This window comes from Homo sapiens, chromosome 17 (genome assembly GCF_000001405.40).
Source record: "Homo sapiens chromosome 17, GRCh38.p14 Primary Assembly".
NCBI lineage: Eukaryota > Metazoa > Chordata > Mammalia > Primates > Hominidae > Homo > Homo sapiens.
Genome location: NC_000017.11, coordinates 5555882 through 5579628, shown reverse-complemented (window position 1 = coordinate 5579628; position 23747 = coordinate 5555882). Strand labels below are relative to the sequence as shown.

Below are 23747 nucleotides of genomic sequence, written 5' to 3'. Positions count from 1 at the left end.
TGCATCTTTATGGTAGAATGCTCTACATTCCTTTGGGTATATACCCAATAATGGGATTGCTAGATTGAATGATAGTTCAGAGTTCTTTGGCAAATCGCGAAATTCCTTTCCACAGTGGCTGAACTAATTTACATTCTTACCAGCAGTGTATAAGTGTTCCTGTTTCTCTGCAATCTCACCAATATCTGTTATTTTTTGACTTTTAAATTATAGCCATTCTGACTGGTGTAGAATAGTACCTCATTATGGGTTTGATTTGCATTTTTCTTTTTTTCCAGAGAAGGTCTCTTTTTTTATTCTATTCTGGCCTTCAACTGATGGAATGAGAGCCACCCACATCAGGGAGGGTGATCTTATTTTTTTTTTTTTTAATACTTTAAGTTCTAGGGTACATGTGCACAACATGCAGGTTTGTTACATGTGTATGCATGTGCCATGCTGGTGTGCTGCACCCATTAACTCATCATTTACATTAGGTATATCTCCTAATGCTATCCCTCCCCCCTCCTCCAACCCCACGACAGGCCCTGGTGTGTGATGTTGCCCTTCCTGTGTCCAGGTGTTCTCATTGTTCATTTCCCACCTATGAGTGAGAACATGCGGTGTTTGGTTGTTTGTCCCTGCGATAGTTTGCTGAGAATGATGGTTTCCAGCTTCATCCATTTCCCTACAAAGGACATGAACTCATCCTTTTTTATGGCTGCATAGTATTCCATGGTGTATATGTGCCACTTTTTCTTAATCCAGTCTATCATTGATGGACATTTGGGTTGGTTCCAAGTCTTTGCTATTGTAAATAGTGCCACAATAAACATACGTGTGCATGTGTCTTTATAGCAGCATGATTTATAATCCTTTGGGTATATACCCAGTAATGGGATGGCTGGGTCAAATGGTATTTCTAGTTCTAGATCCTTGAGGAATTGCCACACTGTCTTCCACAATGGTTGAACCAGTTTACAGTCCCACCAACAGTGTAAAAGTGTTCCTATTTCTCCACATCCTCTCCAGCACCTGTTGTTTCCTGACTTTTTAATATTCACCATTCTAACTTGTATGAGATGGTATCCCATTGTGGTTTTGATTTGCATTTCTCTAATGGCCAGTGATGATGAGCATTTTTTCATATGTCTGTTGGCTACATAAATGTCTTCTTTTGAGAAGTGTCTGTTCATATCCTTCACCCACTTTTTGATGGAGTTGTTTGTTTTTTTCTTGTAAATTTGTTTGAGTTCTTTGTAGATTCTGGATATTAGCCCTTTGTTAGATGAGTAGATTGCAAAAATTTTGTCCCATTCTGTAGGTTGCCTGTTCACTCTGATGGTAGTTTCTTTTGCTGTGCAGAAGCTCTTTAGTTTAATTAGATCTCATATGTCAATTTTGGCTTTTGTTGCCATTGCTTTGAATGTTTTAGACATGAAGTCCTTGCCCATGCCTATGTCCTGAATGGTATTGCCTAGGTTTTCTTCTAGGGTTTTTATGGTTTTAGGTCTGACATTTAAGTCTTTAATCCATCTTGAATTAATTTTTGTATAAGGTGTAAGGAAGGGATCCAGTTTCAGCTTTCTACATATGGCTAACCAGTTTTCCCAGCACCATTTATTAAATAGGGAATCCTTTCCCCATTTCTTGTTTTTGTCAGGTTTGTCAAAGATCAGATGGTTGTAGATGTGTGGTATTATTTCTGAGGGCTCTGTTCTGTTCCATTGGTCTATATCTCTGTTTTGGTACCAGTACCATGCTGTTTTGGTTACTGTAGCCTTGTAGTATAGTTTGAAGTCAGATAGCATGATGCCTCCAGCTTTGTTCTTTTGGCTTAGGATTGTCTTGGCAGTGCGGGCTCTTTTTTGGTTCCATATGAACTTTTAAGTCGTTTTTTCCAATTCTGTGAAGAAAGTCATTGGTAGCTTGATGGGGATGGCATTAAATCTATAAATTACCTTGGGCAGTATGGCCATTTTCATGATATTGATTCTTCCTATCCATGAGCATGGAATGTTCTTCCATTTGTTTGTGTCCTCTTTTATTTCATTGAGCAGTGGTTTGTAGTTCTCCTTGAAGAGGTCCTTCACATCCTTTGTAAGTTGGATTGCTAGGTATTTTATTCTCTTTGAAGCAATTGTGAATGCAAGTTCACTCAAGATTTGGTTCTCTGTCTGTTATTGGTGTGTAAGAATGCTTGTGACTTTTGCACATTGATTTTGTATCCTGAGACTTCGCTGAAGTTGCTTATCAGCTTAAGGAGATTTTGGGCTGAGACGATGGGGTTTTCTAAATATTCAGTCATGTCATCTGCAAACAGGGACAATTTGACTTCCTCTTTTCCTAATTGAATACGCTTTATTTCTTTCTCCTGCCTGATTGCCCTGGCCAGAACTTCCAACACTATGTTGAATAGGAGTGATGAGAGAGGGCATCCCTGTCTTGTGCCAGTTTTCAAAGGGAATGCTTGCAGTTTTTGCCCATTCAGTATGATATTGGCTGTCGGTTTGCCATAAATAGCTCTTATTATTTTGAGATACATCCCATCAATACCTAATTTATTGAGGGTTTTTAGCATGTAGGGCTGTTGAATTTTTTCAAAGGCCTTTTCTGCATCTATTGAGATAATCATGTGGTTTTTGTCTTTGGTTGTGTTTATATGCTGGATTGCATTTATTGATTTGCGTATGTTGAACCAGCCTTAGCATCCCAGGGATGAAGCCCACTTGATCATGCTGGATAAGCTTTTTGATGTGCTGCTGGATTCGGTTTGCCAGTATTTTATTGAGGATTTTTGCATCAATGTTCATCAGGGATATTGGTCTAAAATTCCTTTTTTTTTGTTGTGTCTCTGCCAGGCTTTGGTATCAGGATGATGCTTGCCTCGTAAAATGAGTTAGGGAGGATTCCTTCTTTTTCTATTGATTGGAATAGTTTCAGAAGGAATGGTACCAGCTCCTCCTTGTACGTCTGGTAGAATTTGGCTGTGAATCCGTCTGGATTGGTAGGCTATTAATTATTGCCTCAATTTCAGAGCCTGTTATTGGTCTATTCAGGGATTCAACTTCTTCCTGGTTTAGTCTTGGAAGGGTGTATGTGTCCAGGAATGTGTCCATTTCTTCTAGATTTTCTAGTTTATTTGTGTAGAGGTGTTTATAGTATTCTCTGATGGTAGTTTGTATTTCTGTAGGATCGGTGGTGATATCCCCTTTATCATTTCTTATTGCATCTATTTGATTCTTCTCTCTTTTCTTCTTTATTCGTCTTGCTAGCGGTCTATCAATTTTGTTGATCTTTTCAAAAAACCAGCTCCTGGATTCATTGATTTTTTGAAAGGTTTTTTGTGTCTCTGTCTCCTTCAGTTCTGCTCTGATCTTAGTTATTTCTTGCCTTCTGCTAGCTTTTGAATGTGTTTGCTCTTGCTTTTCTAGTTCTTTCTATTGTGATGTTAGGGTGTCAATTTTAGATCTTTCCTGCTTTCTCTTGTGGGCATTTAGTGCTATAAATTTCCCTCTACACACAGCTTTAAATGTGTCCCAGAGATTCTGGTATGTTGTGTCTTTGTTCTCATTGGTTTCAAAGAACATCTTTATTTCTGCCTTCATTTCGTTATGTACCCAGTAGTCATTCAGGAGCAGGTTGTTCAGTTTCCATGTAGTTGAGCGGTTTTGAGTGAGTTTCTTAATCCTGAGTTCTAGTTTGATTGCACTGAATGGTCTGAGAGACAGTTTGTTATAATTTCTGTCCTTTTACATTTGCTGAGGAGTGCTTTACTTCCAACTATGTGGTCAATTTTGGAATAAGCGCAATGTGTGCTGAGAAGAATATATATTCTGTTGATTTGGGGTGGAGAGTTCTGTAGATGTCTATTAGGTCCCTTGGTGCAGAGCTGAGTTCAATTCCTGGATATCCTTTTTAACTTTCTGTCTCGTTGATCTGTCTAATGTTGACAGGGGGGTGTTAAAGTCTCCCATTATTATTGTGTGGGAGTCTTAAGTCTCTTTGTAGGTCTCTAAGGTCTTGCTTTATGAATCTGGGTGATCCTGTATTGGGTGCATATATATTTAGGATAGTTAGCTCTTCTTGTTGAATTGATCCCTTTACCATTATGTAATGGCCTTCTTTGTCTCTTTTAGTCTTTGTTGGTTTAAAGTCTGTTTTATCAGAGACTAGGATTGCAACCCCTGCCTTTTTTTGTTTTCCATTTGCTTGGTAGATCTTCCTCCATCCCTTTATTTTGAGCCTATGTGTGTCTTTGCACGTGAGATGGGTTTCCTGAATACAGCACACTGATGGGTCTTGACTCTTTATCCCATTTCCCTGTCTGTGTCTTTTAATCGGAGCATTTAGCCCATTTACATTTAAGGTTAATATTGTTATGTGTGAATTTGATCCTGTCATTATGATGTTAGCTGGTTATTTTGCTCATGAGTTGATGCAGTTTCTTCCTAGCATTGGTGGTCTTTACAGTTTGGCATGTTTTTGCAGTGGCTGATACCGGTTGTTCCTTTCCATGTTTAGTGCTTCCTTCAGGAACTCTTTTAGGGCAGGCCTGGTGGTGACAAAATCTCTCAGCATTTGCTTGTCTGTAAAGGATTTTATTTCTCCTTCACTTATGAAGCTTAGTTTGGCTGGATATGAAATTCTGGGTTGAAAATTCTTTTCTTTAAGAAAGTTGAATATTGCCAGGCGTGGTGGCTCACACCTGTAATCCCAGCATTTTGGGAGGCCGAGATGGGCAGACCATGAGGTCAGGAGATCGAGACCGTCCTGGCTAACATGGTGAAACCCCATCTCTACTAAAAAATACAAAAAAAATTAGCCGGGCGTGATGGCGGGCACCTATAGTCCCAGCTGCTCAGGAGGCTAAGGCAGGAGAATGGCATGAACCTGGGAGGCGGAGCTTGCAGTGAGCCGAGGTTATGCCACTGCACTCCAGCCTGGGTGACAGAGCGAGACTCCATCTCAAAAAAAAAAAAAAAAAAAGAATGTTGAATATTGGCCCCCACTCTCTTCTGGCTTGTAGAGTTTCTGCCGAGAGATCCACTGTTAGTCTGATGGGCTTCCCTTTGTGGGTAACCCGACCTTTCTCTCTGGCTGCCCTTAACATTTTTTCCTTCATTTCAGCTTTGGTGAATCTGACAATTATGTGTCTTGGAGTTGCTCTTCTTAAGGAGTATCTTTGTGGTGTTCTCTGTAGCTCCTGAATTTGAATGTTGGCCTGCCTTGCTAGGTTGGGGAAGTTCTCCTGGATAATATCCTGCAGAATGATTTCCAACTTGGTTCCATTCTCCCCGTCACTTTCAGGTACACCAATCAGATGTAGATTTGGTCTTTTCACATAGTCCCATATTTCTTGGAGGCTTTGTTCGTTTCTTTTTACTCTTTTTTCTCTAAACTTCTCTTCTTCCTTCATTTCATTCATTTGGTCTTCAATCACTGATACCCTTTCTTCCAGTTGATCGAATTGGCTACTGAAGCTTGTGCATTCTTCACGTAGTTCTCGTGCCATGGTTTTCAGCTCCATCAGGTCATTTAAGGACTTCTCTACACTGGTTATTTTAGTTAGCCATTTGTCTAATCTTTTTTCAAGGTTTTTAGCTTCTTTGTGATGGATTCGAACTTCCTCCTTTAGCTCGGAGAAGTTTGATCTTCTGAAGCCTTCTTCTCTCAACTCATCAAAGTCATTCTCCGTCCAGCTTTGTTCCATTGCTGGCGAGGAGCTATGTTCCTTTGGAGGGGGAGAGGCGCTCTGATTTTTAGAATTTTCAGCTTTTCTGGTCAGTTTTTTCCCCATCTTTGTGGTTTTATCTACCTTTGGTCTTTGACATAAAGATGGGGTTTTGGTGTGGATGTCCTTTATGTTTGTTAGTTTTCCTTCTAACAGTCAGGACCCTCAGCTGCAGGTCTGTTGGAGTTTGCTGGAGGTCCACTCCAGACCTTGTTTGCCTGGGTATCAGCAGCAGAGGCTGAAGAACAGCGAATATTGCTAAACAGCAAATGTTGCTGCCTGATCCTTCCTCTGGAAGCTTCGTCTCAGAGAGGTAGACGGCTGTGTGAGGTGTCAGTCTGCCCCTACTTGGGGGTGCTTCCCAGTTAGGCTACTCGGGGGTCAGGGACCCACCTGAGGAGGCAGTCTGTCTGTTCTCAGATCTCAAACTCCATGCTGGGAGAACCGCTGCTCTCTTCAAAGCTGTCAAACAGGGACATTTAAGTCTGCAGAGGTTTCTGCTGCCTTTTGTTTGGCTATGCCCTGCCCCCAGAGGTGGAGTCTACAGAGGCAGGCAGGCCTCCTTGAGCTGCGGTGGGCTCCACCCAGTTCAAGCTTCCCAGCTGCTTTGTTTACCTACTCAAGCCTCAGCAATGGTGGGCACCCCTCCCCCCGCCTCACTGCCGCCTTGCTGTTCAATCTCAGACTGCTGGCTAGCAATAAGTGAGGCTCCGTGGGTACAGGACCCTCTGAGCCAGGCACGGGATATAATCTCCTGGTGTGCCGTTTGCAAAGACCGTTGGAAAAGTGCAGTATTAGGGTGGGAGTGACCCAATTTTCCAGGTGCCATCTGTCACAGCTTCCCTTGGCTAGGAAAGGGAATTCCCTGACCCCTTGCACTTCCCAGGTGAGGCAATGCCTCGCCCTGCTTTGGCTTATGCTCGGTGGGCTGCACCCACTGTCCTGCACCCACTGTCTGACAAGCCCCAGTGAGATGAACCTGGTACCTCAGTTGGAAATACAGAAATCACCTGTCTTCTGCGCTGCTCACCCTGGGAGTTGTAGACCGGAGCTGTTCCTATTCGGCCATCTTGGAACCACCCCAATTTGCATTTTGCTAATAATAAGTGATGTTGAGCATTTTTTCATATGCTGTTGGCCATGTGTATGTCTTCTTTTGAAGAGTCTATTGGTGTCCTTTGTCCACTTTTTTTTTTTTTTTTTTCTGAGACAAAGTATCACACTGTCATCCAAGCTGGAATGCAGTGGTGAGATCTCTGCTCATTGCAACCTCCACCTCACGGGCTCAAGGGATTCTCCTGCCTCACCCTCCCAAGTAGCTGGGATTACAGGTGTGCACCACTACGCCCAGCTAATTTTTGTATTTTTTAGTAGAGATGGTCTGTTGGCCAGGCTGGTCTCGAATTCCTCACCTCAAGTGATCTGTCCACCTCAGTCCCCAAAGTGGTAGGATTACAGGCATGAGCCACCATGCCTGGCCATTTGTCCACTTTTTAATGGGATTGTTTTTGGCTTATTAATGTGTTTAAGTTCCTTATAGATTCTGGATATTCCAACTTTGTCAGATGGGTAGTTTGCAAATATTTTCTCCCATTCTGTGGGTTGTCTATTTACTTTGTGGGTAGTTTCTTTTGCTGTGCAGAAGTTCTCTAGTTTAATTAGGTCCCATTTGTCAATTTTTGTTTTCATTGCAATTGTTTTTGGCATCTTCCTCATGAAATTTTTGCCAGGACCTATGTTCAGAATAGTATTTCCTAAGTTTTCTTCAAGGGTTTTTAAAGTTCTAGGTTTTACGTTTAAGACTTTCATCCATCTTCCATTGATCTTTGTATATAGTATCAGGAAGGGGTCCAGTTTCAGTCTTCTGCATATGGCTAGCCAGTTATCTCAGCATCACGTATTGAATAGGGAATGCTTTCCCCATTGCTTGTTTTTGTCAACATTATCAAAGATCAGATGGTTGTAGATATACAGCTTTATTTCTGGGCATTTTATTCTGTTCCATTGGTCTATGTGTCTGTTTTTGTACCAGTAGCATGCCGTTTTGGTTACTGTTGCCTTGTAGTATAGTTTAAAAATAGGTAATGTGATGCCTCCAGATTTGTTATTTTTTACTTAGAATTGCTTTGGCTATTTGGGCTGTTTTTTGGTTCCATATTAATTTTAGAATTTCTTTCTCATTATGTGAAGAATGTCATTGGTTGCTTGCTAGGAATAGCATTGAATCTGTAAATTGCTTGGAGTAGTATGGCGATTTTAACAATATTGATTATTCCTATTCATGAGCATGGAATGTTTTCCATTTGTGTGTGTATCATCTCTGATTTCTTTCAGCAGTGTTTTGTAGTTCTTGCTATAGAGATCTTTCACAATCCTGGTTAGATGTATTCCTAGGTACTTTTTTGTGGCTATTGTGAATGGGATTGCATTCTTGATTTGGTGCTTATTGCACAATGTTACATAATACTTACTACCCAATAGAAGAAATTGATTTTGTATCCTGAAACTTTGCTGAAGTTGTTTATTAGATCTAGCAGATTTGGGACAGAGACTAGGAGGTTTTCTAGGTATAAAATCATAACATCTGCAAACAGAGATACTTTGACTTCCTCTCCTCCTATTTGGATGTCTTTTACTTCTTTCTCTTACCTGATTGCTCTGGGTAGGACTTCTAGTACTATGTTGAATAGATGGTGAGAATGAGCATCCTTGTCTTGTTCTGGTTCTCAAGGAGAATACTTCCAGCTTTTGCCCATTCAGTGTGATGTTGGCTGTGGTTTTGTCATAAATGGCCCTTATTATTTTGAGGTATGCTCCTTCAATGTCTAGTTTGTTGAGAGTTTTAACATTGAAGGATGTTGAATTTTATCAAATGCTTTTTCTGCATCTATTGAGATGATCATGTGGGGGCTTTTTTACTTCTATTTATGTGATAGATCACATTTATTGATTTGCATATGTTGAATCAAACATGCATCCCAGAGATAAAACCTATCTGGTTGTGGTGAATTCGCTTTTTGACGTGCTGCTGGATTCAGTTTGCTAGTATTTTGCTGAAGATTTTTGCAGCTATGTTCATCACAGATATTGTCCTTAAGTTTTCTTCTTTTGTTGTGTCTCTGCCAGGTTTCGGTATCAGAATGATACCAAACTCATAGAATGATACCTAACTCATAGAATGAGTTAGAGAGGAGTCCCCTCCTCCTCAATTTTTTGGAATAGTTTCAGTAGAAATTGTACGAGCTCTTCTTTATGTGTCTGGTAGAATTCAGCTGTGAATCTCTCTGGTCCTGGCCTTTTTCTGGTTGTTAGAATTTTTATTACTGATTCAATTTTAGAACTCGTTATTGCTCTGTTCAGAGTTTTAATTTCTTCCTGGTTCAGTCCTAGGAATTTATTTCTTGTAGGTTTTTCTAGTTTCTGTATATAGAGGTGTTCGTAATAGTCTCTGAGGGTTTTTTATATTTCCACGGGGTCAATGGTAATGTCCTCTTTGTCATTTCTGGTTGTGTTTATTTGGATCTTCTGTCTTTTTTTTTTCTTTATTAGTCTAGCTAGTGGTCTATCGATCTTATTTATTCTTCCAAAGAATGAACTTTTGGTTTTGTTGATCTTTTGTATGGTTTTTTCCATCTCAATTTTATTCAGTTCAGCTCTGATTTTGGTTATTTCTTGTCTTCTGCTAGCTTTGGGATTGATCTTGCTCTTGTTTTTCTAATTCTTCTATTTGTGATGTTAGGTTGCTAATTTGAGATTTTTCTAACTTTTTGATATGGGCATTTACTGCTATAAACTTTCCACTGCTTTATCTGTGTCCCAGAGAATTGGCATATTGTATCTTTGTTCTAATTGGTTTCAAAGAATTTCTTTATTTCTGCCTTAATTTCATTGTTTACCCAAAAGCCACTCAGGAGCAGGTTGTTTAATTTCCATGAATTGTATGGTTCTGAGCTATCTTCTTAGTATTGATTTTTTTTAATTGTGCAGTGGTCCAAGAGTGTGGCTGGTATGATTTGGGTTTTTTAAAATTTGCTGAGAACTTTTTATGGCAGATTGTGTGGTTGATTTTACAGTATATGCCATGTGCAAATGAGAAGAATATATATTCTGTTGTTTGGGGTGGAGAGTTCTGTAGATGTCTCTTAGGCCCATTTGGTCAAGTGTCGAATTTAGGTCCCAAATATCTTTGTTAGTATTCTGCCTTGATGATCTGTTCAATACTGTCAGTGGGTGAAGTCTCCCATTATTACTATATGGTTATCTAAGTCTCTTCATCAGTCTCTAAGAACTCGTCTTATGAATCTGGGTGCTCCTGTATTGGATGCATATATATTCCTGACAGTTAAGTCTTCTTGTTGAATTGAACCCTTTATTATTATGTGATGCCTTTCTTTGTCTTTTTTGATTGATGTTGATTTGAAGTCTGTTTTGTGTGAAATTAGAATGGCAATCCGTGCTTTTGTTTGTTTTCCATTTGCTTGGTAGATTTTTCCCCATCCCTTTACTTTGAGCCTATGAATGTCATTGCATGTGAGATGGATCTCTTGAAGACAGTATCCAGTTGGGCCATGCTTCTTTATTGAACTTGCCACTCTGTGCCTTTTAATGGGAGCATTTAGCCCATTTACATTTGGATTAATATCGATATGTGTGAGTTTAATCCTGTCATCATGTTGTTAGCTGATTATTTTGCAGACTTGATTTTGTAGTTGCTTGATAGTATCAGTGGACTGTGTACTTTAGTGTGTTTTATGGTGGCCAGTGATGGTCTTTTGTTTCCATATTTAGCACTCCCTTAAGAACCTCTTGTAAGGCAGGTCTGGTGGTAATAAATTCCCTTAGCATTTGCTTGTCTGAAAAGGATCTTATTTCTCCTTCGCTTATAAGGCTTAGTTTGGCTGTATATGAAATTCTTGGTTGGAGCACAGTCATAGTGGTAGGTGGCCACGGGGGTGCTTGTGTCACTTTCTAATGAGGTTAAAGGTGGCTTTAGGTGGCTTAGAAGAGACAGAGACTGTATGTTTGGCAGAAAGTAAGGAAAGAGAACAAGAGTCTCTGCCTGGTAACCTAGATAATTCAACCAGATTTTGTCTAAGACTATTAAGGTGGTACCTCTATGACTGTGCAAGAACCACAGCATTACTGGGCTTAGGGTGCCCTCTAAAGCAGAAATGCCTTAGATCACAAAACTCAAGTCCTTTCAAATCTGGAAAGCCTTTCCAAAAAGGCTGCCTATAAATAAGCCTGGACAGTGAAGACTACAATAAATGCTCAACTCTTCAATGCCCAGACACTGAAGAACATCTACTAGCATTAACACCATCCAGGAAAACATGACCTCACCATAAGGCATCAGGGACCAATTCTGGAGAAAGAGAGATATGTGACCTTTCAGACAGAATTCAAAATAGCTGTGTTGAGGAAATTCAAAGAAACTCAAGATAACACAGAGAAGGAATTCAGAATTCTAGCAGATAAATGTAATAAAGAGATTGAAATAATTAAAAATAATCAAACAGAAATTCTGGAGCTGAAAAAATTCAATTTGCATACTGAAGAATGCATCAGAGTCCTTTCATAGCAGAATGGATCCAGCAGAAGAAAGAATTAGTGAGCTTGAAGACAGGCTATAATTGAAAATACACAGAAGGGACAAAAGAAAAAAGAATAAAAAAAACAATGAAACACACCTGCAGGATCTAGAAAATAGCCTCAAAATGGCAAATCTAAGAGTTATTGGCCTTAAGGAGGAGGTAGTGAAAGAAATAGGAGTAGAAGTTTTATTCAAAGGGATAAGAGAAAATTTCCCAAACCTAGGGAAAGATATCCAAGTACAAGAAGGTTTTAGAACACCGAGTAGATTTAACCCAAAGTAGACTACCTCAAGGCATTTAATAATCAAACTCCCAAAGGTCAAGGATAAAGAAAGGATTTTAAAAGCAGCAAGAGAAAAGAAACAAGTAACATACTATGGAGTTCCAATACATCTGGCCGCAGACTTTTCATGGAAACCTTACAGGCCAGGAGAGAGTGGCATGACATATTTAAAGTTCTGAAGGAAAGAAAACTTTTACCCTAAATAGTATATCTGGTGAAAATATCTTTCAAACATGAAGGAGAAATAAAGATTTTCCCAAACAAAAGCTGAAGGATTTCATCAATACCAAACCCATCCTACAAGAAATGCTAAAAGGAGTACTTCAATCAGAAAGAGAAGAACATTAATGAGCAATCATCACCTGAAGGTAAGAAACTTACTCATAATAGTAAGTACACCGAAAAACACAGAATATTTTTACACTGTAACTGTGGTGTATAACCTCTCTTACCCTAAGTAGACAGACTAGATGATGAACCAATCAAAAATAATAACTACAACAACTTTTCAAGACACAGTCAGTAAAATAATATATAAATAGAAACAACAAAAAGTTTAAAAAGCTGGGAAATGAAGTTAAGTTTTTATTAGTTTTCTTTCTGCCTGTTTGTTTATTTGTTTATCCAAATAGTGTTGTTATCAGATTAAAATAATAGATTATAAGATGGTATTTGCAAGCCTCATGGTAACCTCAAACCAAAAAACATAAAATGGATACACAAAAAATAAAAATCAAGAAACCAAATTATATCACCAGAGAAAATCATCTTCACTAGAGGAAGACAGGAATAAAAGAAAGAAGAGAAGATCACAAAACAAGCAGAAAACAAATAATAAAATGGCAAGAGTAAGTCCTTACTTATCAATAATAAGTAATGTAAATGGATTAAACTATCCAATCAAAAGACATAGACTGGCTGAATGAATGAAAAAACAAGAACCAATGATCTGTTCCCTACAAGAAACACATTTCACCTATAAAGACACACATAAACAGAAAATGAAGTGATGGAAAAATATATTACATGCCAGTGGAAAACAAAAAAGAGCAGAAGTCACTATACTTGTATCAGACAAAATAGATTTCAAAACAAAAACTATACAAAGAGAGACAAAGAAGGTCACTATATAATGATAATGGAGTCAATTCAGCAAGAGGATATAACAATTTTAAATATATATGCACCCAACACAGGAACACCCAGATATGTAAAGGAAATATTATTAGAGCTAAAGAGAGAGATAGGCCTCAATACAATAATAGCTGGAGACTTTAACACCCCACTTTTAGCATTGGACGTATCTTCCAGACAGAAAATCAGCAAAGAAACATGAAACTTAATCTGCATTACAGACCAAATGGATCTAATAGATATTTACAGAACATTCCATCCAAGAGCTGCAGAATACACATTCTTTTCCTCAGCACATGGATCATTCCCAAGGATACACCATATATTAGCTCACAAAACAAGTCTTAAAACATTCAAAAAATTGAAATAATATCAAGCATCTTCTCTGACCACAATGCAATAAAATTAGAAATTAATAATAAGAGGAATTTAGAAAACTACATAAATACATGAAAATTAAACAATATGCTCCTGAGTGACCAGTGGGTCAATGAAGAAATTAAGAACAAAATAAAGAAAGAAAAATTTCTTGAAACAAATGATCATGGAAACACAATATACCAAAACCTATGGGATATATTAAGAGAGAAGTTTATAGCTATAAGTGCCTATATCAAAAAAGAGGAAAAACTTCAAATAAACAATCTAATGATGCATCTTAAAGAGAGAAAAGCAGGAACAAACCAAACCCACTATTAGTAGATGAAAAGAAATAACAAAGATCAGAGCAGAAATAAATGAAATTAAAAAGAAAAAATACAAAAGATCAATGAAACAAAAAGTTGATTTTTTGAAAAGTTAAAATCGACAAACCTTTAGCCAAGCTAAGAAAAAAAGAGAGAAGATCTAAATAAATAAAATCAGAAATGAAAAAGGAAACATTTCAGCTGATACTGCAGAAATTCAAGGGATCATTAGTGGCTGCTATGAGCAATTATATGCCAATAAATTGGAAAATCTAGAAGAAATGGACAAATCTCTAGATACATACAGCCTACCAAGACTGAACTAGGAAGAAATCCAAAACCTAAACAGACCAATAACAAGTAACAACATGGAAGCCGTAATAAAAAGCCTTACAGTGAAGAAAAGCCAAGGACTGGATGGCTTCACTGCTGAAATTCTACCCAACATTTAAGAAGAACTAGTATCAGTCCTACTGAAACTACTCCGAAAAAATAGAGGAGGAAGGACTATTACCACACTCATTCTCTGAGGCCAGTATTACCTTAATACCAAAACCAGACAAAAACACATCAAAAAATTGACTAAAAACTTAAATCTAAGACCTCAAACTATGAAGCTACTACAAGAAAACATTGGGGAAAATCTCCAGGACATTGGTCTGCAAAGATTTCTTGAGCAATAACACACAAGCATAGGCAACCAAAGCAAACATGGACAAACAAGATCATGTCAAGTTAAAAAGCTTCTGCACAGTGAGGGATACAATAAACAAAGTGAAGAGACAACCCACAGAATGGGAGAAAGTATTTGCAAACTACCCTTCAGACAAGGGATTAATAACCAGAATATATAAGGAGCTCAAATGACTCTATAGGAAAAAATCTAAAATTCGATCAAAAAATAGTTAAAAGATTAGAATAGACGTTTCTCAGAAGAAGATATACAAATGGCAAACAGGCATATGAAAAGGCATTCAACATCACTGATAGTCAGAGAAATGCAAATGAAAACTGCAATATCACCTCACCCCAGCTAAAATGGCTTTTATCCAAAAGACAGGCAAGAACAAATTCTTGTGAGGGTGTGGAGAAAAGGAAACTCTCATACACTGTTGGTGGGAACGTAAATTAGTACAACCACTATGGAGAACAGTTTGGAGTTTCCTCAAAAAACTAAAAATTGGCTGGGCGCAGTGGCTCATGCCTGTAATCCCAGCACTTTGGGAGGCCGAGGTGGGCAGATCATGAGGTCAGGAGATTGAGACCATCCTGGCTAACACAGTGAAACCCCATCTCTACTAAAAACACAAAAAATTAGCCAGGTGCAGTGGCGGGCACCTGTAGTCCCAGCTACTCGGGAGGCTGAGGCAGCAGAATGGTGTGAACCCAGGAGGCGGAGCTTGCAGTGAGCCAAGATTGCGCCACTGCACTCCAGCCTGGGCAACAGAGCAAGACTCTGTCTAAAAAAAAAAAAAAAAAAAAAACACTAAAAATTGAGCAATCTCACTGCAGGGTATACATCCAAAAGAAAGGAAATCAGAATATCGAAGAGATACATGCACTTCTATGTTTGTGGCAGCACTGTTTATAATAGCCAAGATTGGAAGCAACCCAAGTGTCCATCAGCAGATGAACAGATATAGAAAACGTGGTGCATATACATACTATTCAGCCATCAAAGAGAATGAGTCCCAGTCATTTGCAACAAACATGGATGAAACTGGAGATTACGTTATGTGAAATAAGCCAGGCACAGGAAGACAAACATCACATGTTCTCACTTATTTGTGGGATCTAAAACTCAAATCAATTGAACTCATGGACATAGAGAGCAGAAGGATGGTTACCAGAAGCTGAGAAAAGTAGTGGGGGGCAAGAGGGAAAGGTGGGGATAGTTAGTGGGTACAAAAAAATAGAAAGAATGAATAAGACCCACTGTTTGATAGCACAATAGGGTGACTATAGTCAATAATAAATTAATTGTATACTTTTTAATAACAAAGAATATAGTTGGATTGTTTGTAACTCAAAGGTTAAATGTTTGAGGAGCTGCATACCCCATTCTCCATGATGTGCTTATTTTACAGTGCTTACTTGTATCAAACCATCTCATGGATCCCCATAAATACATACACCTACTACATATCCACAAAATTTTTAAAAAATAATTTTAAAATTTTAAAAAAGAAAAGAAATTATTGGCTGGAATTTCTTTTCTTTAAGGATGCTGAATATAGGCCCCCAATCTCTTCTGCCTTGCAGGGCTTCTGCTGAAAAGTTCACTGTTAGCCTGATGAGGTTCCCTTTTTAGGTGACCTGCCCCTTCTGTGTCTAGCTGCCTTTATTGTTTTTTCTTTCATGTTGGCCTTGGAGAATCTGAGGACTTGGGGAATCTGAGAACTATGTGTTTTAGGGATGATTGTCTTGTATAGTATCTCACAAGGATTCTTTGCATTTCCTGAATTTAAATGTTGGCTTCTCTAGGGAGGTTGGGGAAACTTTTGTGGACAATATCTTCAAATACGTTTTCCAAGTTGCTGGCTTTCTCATGCTCTTTCAGGGATGCCAGCGAGTCATAGATTTGGTCTCTTTCCAAAATCCCATATTCCTCAGAGGTGTTGTTCATTTGTTTTCATTCTTTTTTATTTTTGTCTGACTGAGTTAATTTGGAGAACCAGTCTTCAGGCTCTGAGATTCTTTCCTCAGCTTGGTCTATCCTGTTGTTAATACTTGCTATTGTATTATGAAATTCTTGTAGTGAGATTTCCAGCTCTATCAGATCAGTTTGGTTCTTTCCTAAAATGACCATTTCGTCTTTCAGCTCCTGTATCATTTTATCATATTCCTTAGATTGCTTGGACTGGATTTTGACTTTCTCCTGAATCTCAATGATCTTCATTCCTACTCATATTCTGAATTCTATGTCTGTCATTTCAGCCATTTCAGCCTGTTAAAATACCATTGCTGAGGCACTAGTGCACACATCTGGAGATAGGAAGACACTGTGGCTTTTTGAGTTACCAGAGCTCTTGAGCTGGTTCTTTCTCGTGTGTGTGGGCTGATGTTCCTTTAATCTTTGAAGTTGTCTTCCTTTGGATGGGGTTTTTTTTGTTTTGTTTTTATCTTGTTTGAAGCCCTTGGGGGTTTGATTGTCGTATAAGGTGGGTTCAGTCAACTGGCTTCGATTCTGGAAGATTTCAGGTGGCCAAGGCTCAGCTCAGCACTCCTGAGCTGCCTGCTCTAACTCTAGAAGGCTGGTACTGGGTCCCCAGCCTTTTCCTCTGGCCTCCTGGGGTTCAGAACCTGCTGCATTAGAGGGGCCAAGGTGTTCCCAGTCCGCTGGCCTCAACAGTCCAGTGGGGGTGCAGGCCAAAGTGCTTCCTTGTGGCAGTGCCAGCAGGATCTGTGCTCACTCACACATGGCACCAGCCACAGTGGCATGGCAGGGTGCGTGTGTGTTGGCTGGGGCAGGGCACTGGTGGGAGCCTTTGCCTTAGTTTTCATGGCACTGAATACTGCAAAACATTTTGGTGTTGTATTTTGGGGCCGCCATCCAGTAGGCAGTGCTTAAGAGTGATCACCAGGAGATACACTCTTACTCTGCTGCGTGGTTCTTCATGTTTCAGTACAGTTGGCAGTAGTGTTCTGTGTGTGTTGGGGACAGGGGGGTGACCTTCTCACTTAGTCCACTCCTGGGCCTTAGACAAGACCCTTCTGATTACTGGCTCCACACCTGCATTTCTTTTGTTGGGTGTTCTGGTAAACGGGGTTCCTTCAGGCAGGGGCCGTGGTTGGCAGACAGGCCGTATCCTTGCTGGGTCCGCCCTGCAGAGAGAGGCATACCTCCTCCACCTCACTCCTCCACCAGCCTACAAACTCGGACATCTCACCTCTGTCAGTGATAAGAGAATGAGGGCTCTTCCCTGCTTGGGCATTGTCCAAACCAGCAAGTCCTGCTCAGCTAGGATCTGCAGAAGTGGGTGGGGTCACGTAATCAGCTGTCTGGGTGCTTCCCAGAGGAACAGGGGATGGCACCCACCCACAGAGTAGCGGGACTGCTGGGCTGGAAGCTCTAGCAGGTGTGGCCCATCTGGCTACCACAGGCAGAGGTGGTTGGAGTCACCCACCCTGCCATCTGGGTGTTTCCCTGGGCAGTAACAGGAGGCTGCACCCCTCAGCCGGATTCAGACAGAATTAGGACCACTGCGCTGGAAGCTCTAGCAGACATGGCCTGCATGGCTAGGAGAGGCGGTGGTGGGTGGAGTCACCCACCCTGCCTTCAGAGTGTTTCTCGGGGAACCGGGAGTTTGCCTCTGCTGGCTGAGTTCAGACAGAAGCAGACTGCTAGCAGACATTGCCCGCCTGGCTACCAGTGGCAGGGATGGGCAGAGTCACCCCCTCTGCTGTCCAAGTGGGGAACCTGAACAAAATAATATCCCAAAGAACAGTTTCATGGCAAGTATAAAAACCACATGGGGCCGGGCGCGGTGGCTCACGCCTGTAATCCCAGCACTTTGGGAGGCCGAGGCGGGTGGATCATGAGGTCAGGAGATCGAGACCATCCTGGCTAACAAGGTGAAACCCCGTCTCTACTAAAAATACAAAAAATTAGCCGGGCGCGGTGGCGGGCGCCTGTAGTCCCAGCTACTCGGGAGGCTGAGGCAGGAGAATGGCGTGAACCCGGGAAGCGGAGCTTGCAGTGAGCTGAGATTGCGCCACTGCAGTCCGCAGTCCGGCCTGGGCGACAGAGCGAGACTCCGTCTCAAAAAAAAAAAAAAAAAAAAAAAAAAAACCACATGGCATGCTTTTTGATCTATCAAGAGCAAAGGTAGGAAAACTTGTTTGAGTAAAAGACAAGATAGTAGGCTGGGTGCAGTGGCCCATGCCTGTAATCCCAGCACTTTGGGAGGCTGAGGCGGGCAGATCACGTGAGGTCAGGAGTTTGAGACCAGCATGGCCAACATGGTGAAACCCCATCTCTACAAAAATACAAAAATTAGCTGGCGTGATGGCGGGTACTTATAATCCCAGCTACTCTGGGGGCTGAGGCAGGAGAATCGCTTGACCCTGGGAGGCGGAGGTTGCGGTGAGCCGAGATCGTGCCACTGCACTCCAGCCTGGGTGACAAGAGAGAAACTCTGCCTCAAAAAAATAAATAAAATAAAATGAAATTCACCTAAGGAGAGAAGGGAGAGGCACTGAACATATTGTGAAGAAAAGAACAGAAGAGGTTGTAACTGTTGTTCTATTTGGAATCTGACTAAGATAGGAGCCTGAGGTCCCTCCCTGGGAAACAATGGTGTATATAACCTCAGCTTCTCACAGGTCATGAGGTATCTTCCATCAGTCTCAGGTCGGGCTCGCCCGGAAGCCTGAGACCGGATTTGGTTGCAGGTGGCTTACTGGGGAGGTGATTTCTTGGACTCATCAACAAGAGAGAATGGTGAGGCGGGGAAACCCAGGAAAGGTAGATTATGGAACAGGTTACCTTGTGAGCAACTGAGGCTCCATGCTGCTGCGGTTGTCTGGGAGACGGTGAGAACATGCCTGAGTGTTATCTGTCCTGGGGGCAAGGGACCCCACCTGTCATCCACTAAGGGCACCTCCTGGACTGGAGAACTATCCTCCAGTATTTCTGGCCCACCCGGCTTACAGGCAGAGAAAGAGCCCTCAGACAGATGACCACAGCTGTTGCCGAGGGACACCATTGGCAGGTACTGCAATAGCAGGTGCTTGGGATGCTGTCAGCATCTGCTACACACTCCAGTGTCTCCTCCAGTCCTCCATGACCTACAACCCCCAGCTTACAGATGAGAAAACTGAGGCTCATAGGGGCTAATGGCCAGCATCATAAGCTTAGTGAGGACTGAGAGTTGTGTCTGTTTTGTTCACTCTTTATCCCCAACCCCTATAGCAGCACCTGGCACAGAGTAAGCCCTTGATAAATATTCAGTGAAGGAAAGTCATTCAGGGAGTGTGACTTAGTTGAGTCAAGACTTGAACTGGGATATTCTACCCCAAAGCACATGTCCTTCCGCCGCATGGCAAGAACATACCAGTGTCTGCAGACAGCGCAGTGTGTGGCTTGGAGTAGGTGCCTAAAACAGTTGTTTAATTAATTAATTAATTCTTCTATTCTCTACCTTTATGTTCCTTCTTTCCCTCCCTTACTTAGAAATCAGAGAAAGAGAGAGAGAGAAATCAGAGAAAGGCAGGCCCCCATGGGCAGCGGTGGTAGGAACGCCCCCACAGGCGCACACCAGCCTACAGCCCCACCACCACCCATGGGAGCCTTCTGTGAGAGAGAGCCTCTGTTCCACATGGCCCTGGAAAAATGAGGATTTTAACCAAAAATTCACACAGCTGCTACTTCTACAAAGACCTCACCCCAGAAGCCAAGATCCCCTGGTCAAGAGAAGCTGGCCTGATTATGTGGAGGAGAATCGAGGACATTTAATTGAGATCAGAGACTTATTTGGCCCAGGCCTGGATACCCAAGAACCTCGCATAGTCATACTGCAGGGGGCTGCTGGAATTGGGAAGTCAACACTGGCCAGGCAGGTGAAGGAAGCCTGGGGGAGAGGCCAGCTGTATGGGGACCGCTTCCAGCATGTCTTCTACTTCAGCTGCAGAGAGCTGGCCCAGTCCAAGGTGGTGAGTCTCGCTGAGCTCATCGGAAAAGATGGGACAGCCACTCCGGCTCCCATTAGACAGATCCTGTCTAGGCCAGAGCGGCTGCTCTTCATCCTCGATGGTGTAGATGAGCCAGGATGGGTCTTGCAGGAGCCGAGTTCTGAGCTCTGTCTGCACTGGAGCCAGCCACAGCCGGCGGATGCACTGCTGGGCAGTTTGCTGGGGAAAACTATACTTCCCGAGGCATCCTTCCTGATCACGGCTCGGACCACAGCTCTGCAGAACCTCATTCCTTCTTTGGAGCAGGCACGTTGGGTAGAGGTCCTGGGGTTCTCTGAGTCCAGCAGGAAGGAATATTTCTACAGATATTTCACAGATGAAAGGCAAGCAATTAGAGCCTTTAGGTTGGTCAAATCAAACAAAGAGCTCTGGGCCCTGTGTCTTGTGCCCTGGGTGTCCTGGCTGGCCTGCACTTGCCTGATGCAGCAGATGAAGCGGAAGGAAAAACTCACACTGACTTCCAAGACCACCACAACCCTCTGTCTACATTACCTTGCCCAGGCTCTCCAAGCTCAGCCATTGGGACCCCAGCTCAGAGACCTCTGCTCTCTGGCTGCTGAGGGCATCTGGCAAAAAAAGACCCTTTTCAGTCCAGATGACCTCAGGAAGCATGGGTTAGATGGGGCCATCATCTCCACCTTCTTGAAGATGGGTATTCTTCAAGAGCACCCCATCCCTCTGAGCTACAGCTTCATTCACCTCTGTTTCCAAGAGTTCTTTGCAGCAATGTCCTATGTCTTGGAGGATGAGAAGGGGAGAGGTAAACATTCTAATTGCATCATAGATTTGGAAAAGACGCTAGAAGCATATGGAATACATGGCCTGTTTGGGGCATCAACCACACGTTTCCTATTGGGCCTGTTAAGTGATGAGGGGGAGAGAGAGATGGAGAACATCTTTCACTGCCGGCTGTCTCAGGGGAGGAACCTGATGCAGTGGGTCCCGTCCCTGCAGCTGCTGCTGCAGCCACACTCTCTGGAGTCCCTCCACTGCTTGTACGAGACTCGGAACAAAACGTTCCTGACACAAGTGATGGCCCATTTCGAAGAAATGGGCATGTGTGTAGAAACAGACATGGAGCTCTTAGTGTGCACTTTCTGCATTAAATTCAGCCGCCACGTGAAGAAGCTTCAGCTGATTGAGGGCAGGCAGCACAGATCAACATGGAGCCCCACCATGGTAGTCCTGTGAGTACCCAAACCACCCATGTCTGCAGCTCCTCTGTCAGTCCATAAGCCCGAGTGACCTGAGCACCAGAGGCATGCTCACTGAGCCTGGCCGGGGGTGGGGGTGGCTAAAGGATCAGGGTCTCCAGTGACTTCTAACTGCCCAATCTGACCACCATGCTCTGTCTACCTAAGCTCCTCTGCAGTGCCCGGCTGTGGGGCAGGCCCTGCTTGCTTCTGGAGAGGCCACTGGGCCCTGCCGTGTCTGCCACCTCTCCTCCTACCCTTAGAATGACCGTCCATCTTCTCTCCTGGACGTGCTCCCACCTTCCTGCTGACCTTAGCTACCCCCACACTCCCCAAGGATCAGGCAGCCCCCCTACCCCTGCTCCTCTCTCTGGGCATTCATTCTCTCGGAGAAATTGCTCCTCCAGCTGCTTCAGGAACCCTTTCCATGACAACGACATTGGCCCTGAGATCTTCCCCATCAGCTCTCAAAAAGAGTTTCCTATTTTTCCCTGCAAAACTGACTTCATAATTATTTGTGACCGTGGTGCCACCATTGCCCCACGCACTCAACCTGAAACCCACTCTCTGGCTGTGCAAGAATAGCTTCCTCCAACCATTCTCCAGCCCGGCAGTACTGAGAACTTCCCCATCCCGGTTCCCCGACCTCTGTCGTGGTATCGATCACATGCTATTGGTATGTGTCTATGTCCTGCTTTAGATGATTCATTCCATAAGTATTTATTAAGCACTGATTCTATGCCAGGCCCTACAGATCACAGATTAAAAAGCACAATACGTGCCTTAAGGAGCTCAAAAAATAGGGGAGAAGACAAACATTCATTTAATGACAACAGAGTGTGATGTCTACAACAGTAGAGGTATGGACAAGGTACTGTGGTGGCCCAAGGAAGGGAGTGATCACACGAGTGGGTAATAAAGATTCTCAGAGGAAGAAATGTTTGATGTGGGCCTTCATATTTATATTTTTAAAACTTTTTCTCACAATAAAATTCATGTTCATTATAGGAAAAAAAAAAAGATATGTAGGCTGGGTGAAGTAGCTCACACCTGTAATTCCAGTACTTTGGGAGGCTGAAGCAGGAGGATCACTTGAGGCCAGGAGTTCGAGACCAGCCTGGCCAACATGGCAAAACCCCATCTCTACCAAAAAATACAAAAATTATCTGGGCATGGTGGCACACGCCTGTAATCCCAGCTATTAGGGAGACTGAGGCATGAGAATCACTTGAATCTGGGAGACGGAGTTTGCAATGAGCTGAGATCGTGATACTGAACTCCAACCTGGGCAACAGAGCCAGACTCCGTCTCAAAAAACAAACAAACAAAAGATAACGTAGATAAGCAAAAAGATGAAAAATAGTATCAATAAGAATTCCATCATTCTGTAATAACCATCATTAAAAATTGGCTGGGTGTGGTGGCTCACACCTGTAATCCCAGCACTTTGGGAGGCCGAGGCAGGTGGATCACCTGAGGTCAGGAGTTCGAGACCAGCCTGGTCAACATGGTGAAACCCCATCTCTACTAAAAATACATAAATTAGCCGAAAATGGTGTCAGGCGCCTGTAATCCCAGCTACTCAGGAGGCTGAGGCAGGAGAATCACTTGACAGGTCAGGGGCAGAGGTTGCAGTGAGCTGAGATTGTGCCACTTCACTCCAGCCTGGGAAAAAGAGCAAAACTCAGTCTCAAAAAAAAAAAAAATTAGTGGTCAATTGTAAGAACCCCAGTCTTTTTTCTGTGCACATGTCTATGGCGAAATCGAACCATATTGTACATTTTATTTTATAGTCAGTTTTATTTTCTTTATATATCAAGGCTATCTTCTTGTGAGTGGGTGTGGGGTATTTTTTTTTTTTTTTGGTTTGTTGTTGTCTGAGACGGAGTCTCGCTCTGTCCCCTAGGCTGGAGTGCAGTGGTGCAATCACAGCTCACTGCAGCCTGGACCACCCGAGTTTAAGGGATCCTCTTACCTCAGCCCCGCTAGGAGCTGAGACTACAGGAGCATGCCAACATGCAGCGATAATTTTTGTATATTTTTTGTATAGAGATGAGATTTCACTGTGTTGACCAAGCTGGTCTCAAACTCCTGGGCTCAAGCAAGCTGCTCACCTTGACCTCCCAAAGTGCTGGGATCACAGATGTGAGCCACCATGCCCAGCCCTTCATGTGTGTGTGTGTGTGTGTGTGTGTGTGTGTGTGTGTGTGTGTGTGTAGAGAGAGAGACAGAGACAGAGACAGACAGAGTCTTGCTCTGTCACCAGGCTGGCATGCGGTGGCACGATCTCTGCTCACTGCAACCTCTGCCTCCCAGGTTCAAGCAATTCTCATGCCTCAGCCTCCAGAGTAGCTGGGATTACAGGCACGCACCACCACACCCAGCTAATTTTTTGTCGTCTTAGTAGAAACGGGGTTTCACCATGTTGGCCAGGTTGGTCTTGAACTCCTG

The 23747-nt window shown here is 42.5% G+C and overlaps 1 protein-coding gene across 5 annotated transcripts in view, besides 1 other annotated feature; it reads left to right on the top strand.

Annotated features, from left to right (window-relative positions):
- The window catches only part of NLRP1 (NLR family pyrin domain containing 1), an 83114-nt gene that overhangs the window by 4881 nt on the left and 54486 nt on the right, over window positions 1–23747 (top strand). For all 5 annotated transcript variants that reach the window (NM_001033053.3, NM_033007.4, NM_033006.4 and 2 more), the window contains exon 4: window positions 19586–21290. In NM_001033053.3, coding sequence (NP_001028225.1) covers window positions 19586–21290 — 1705 coding nt within the window. The remainder of the gene's footprint in view (window positions 1–19585; window positions 21291–23747) is intronic.
- Window positions 17529–18030: an enhancer, noted in NCBI's record as "H3K4me1 hESC enhancer chr17:5464919-5465420 (GRCh37/hg19 assembly coordinates)". NCBI's record gives its function as "activates a minimal SCP1, AML or CMV promoter by ChIP-STARR-seq in naive H9 embryonic stem cells {active_cell/tissue: H9 hESC(naive)}" and the evidence as "EXISTENCE:reporter gene assay evidence [ECO:0000049][PMID:30033119]".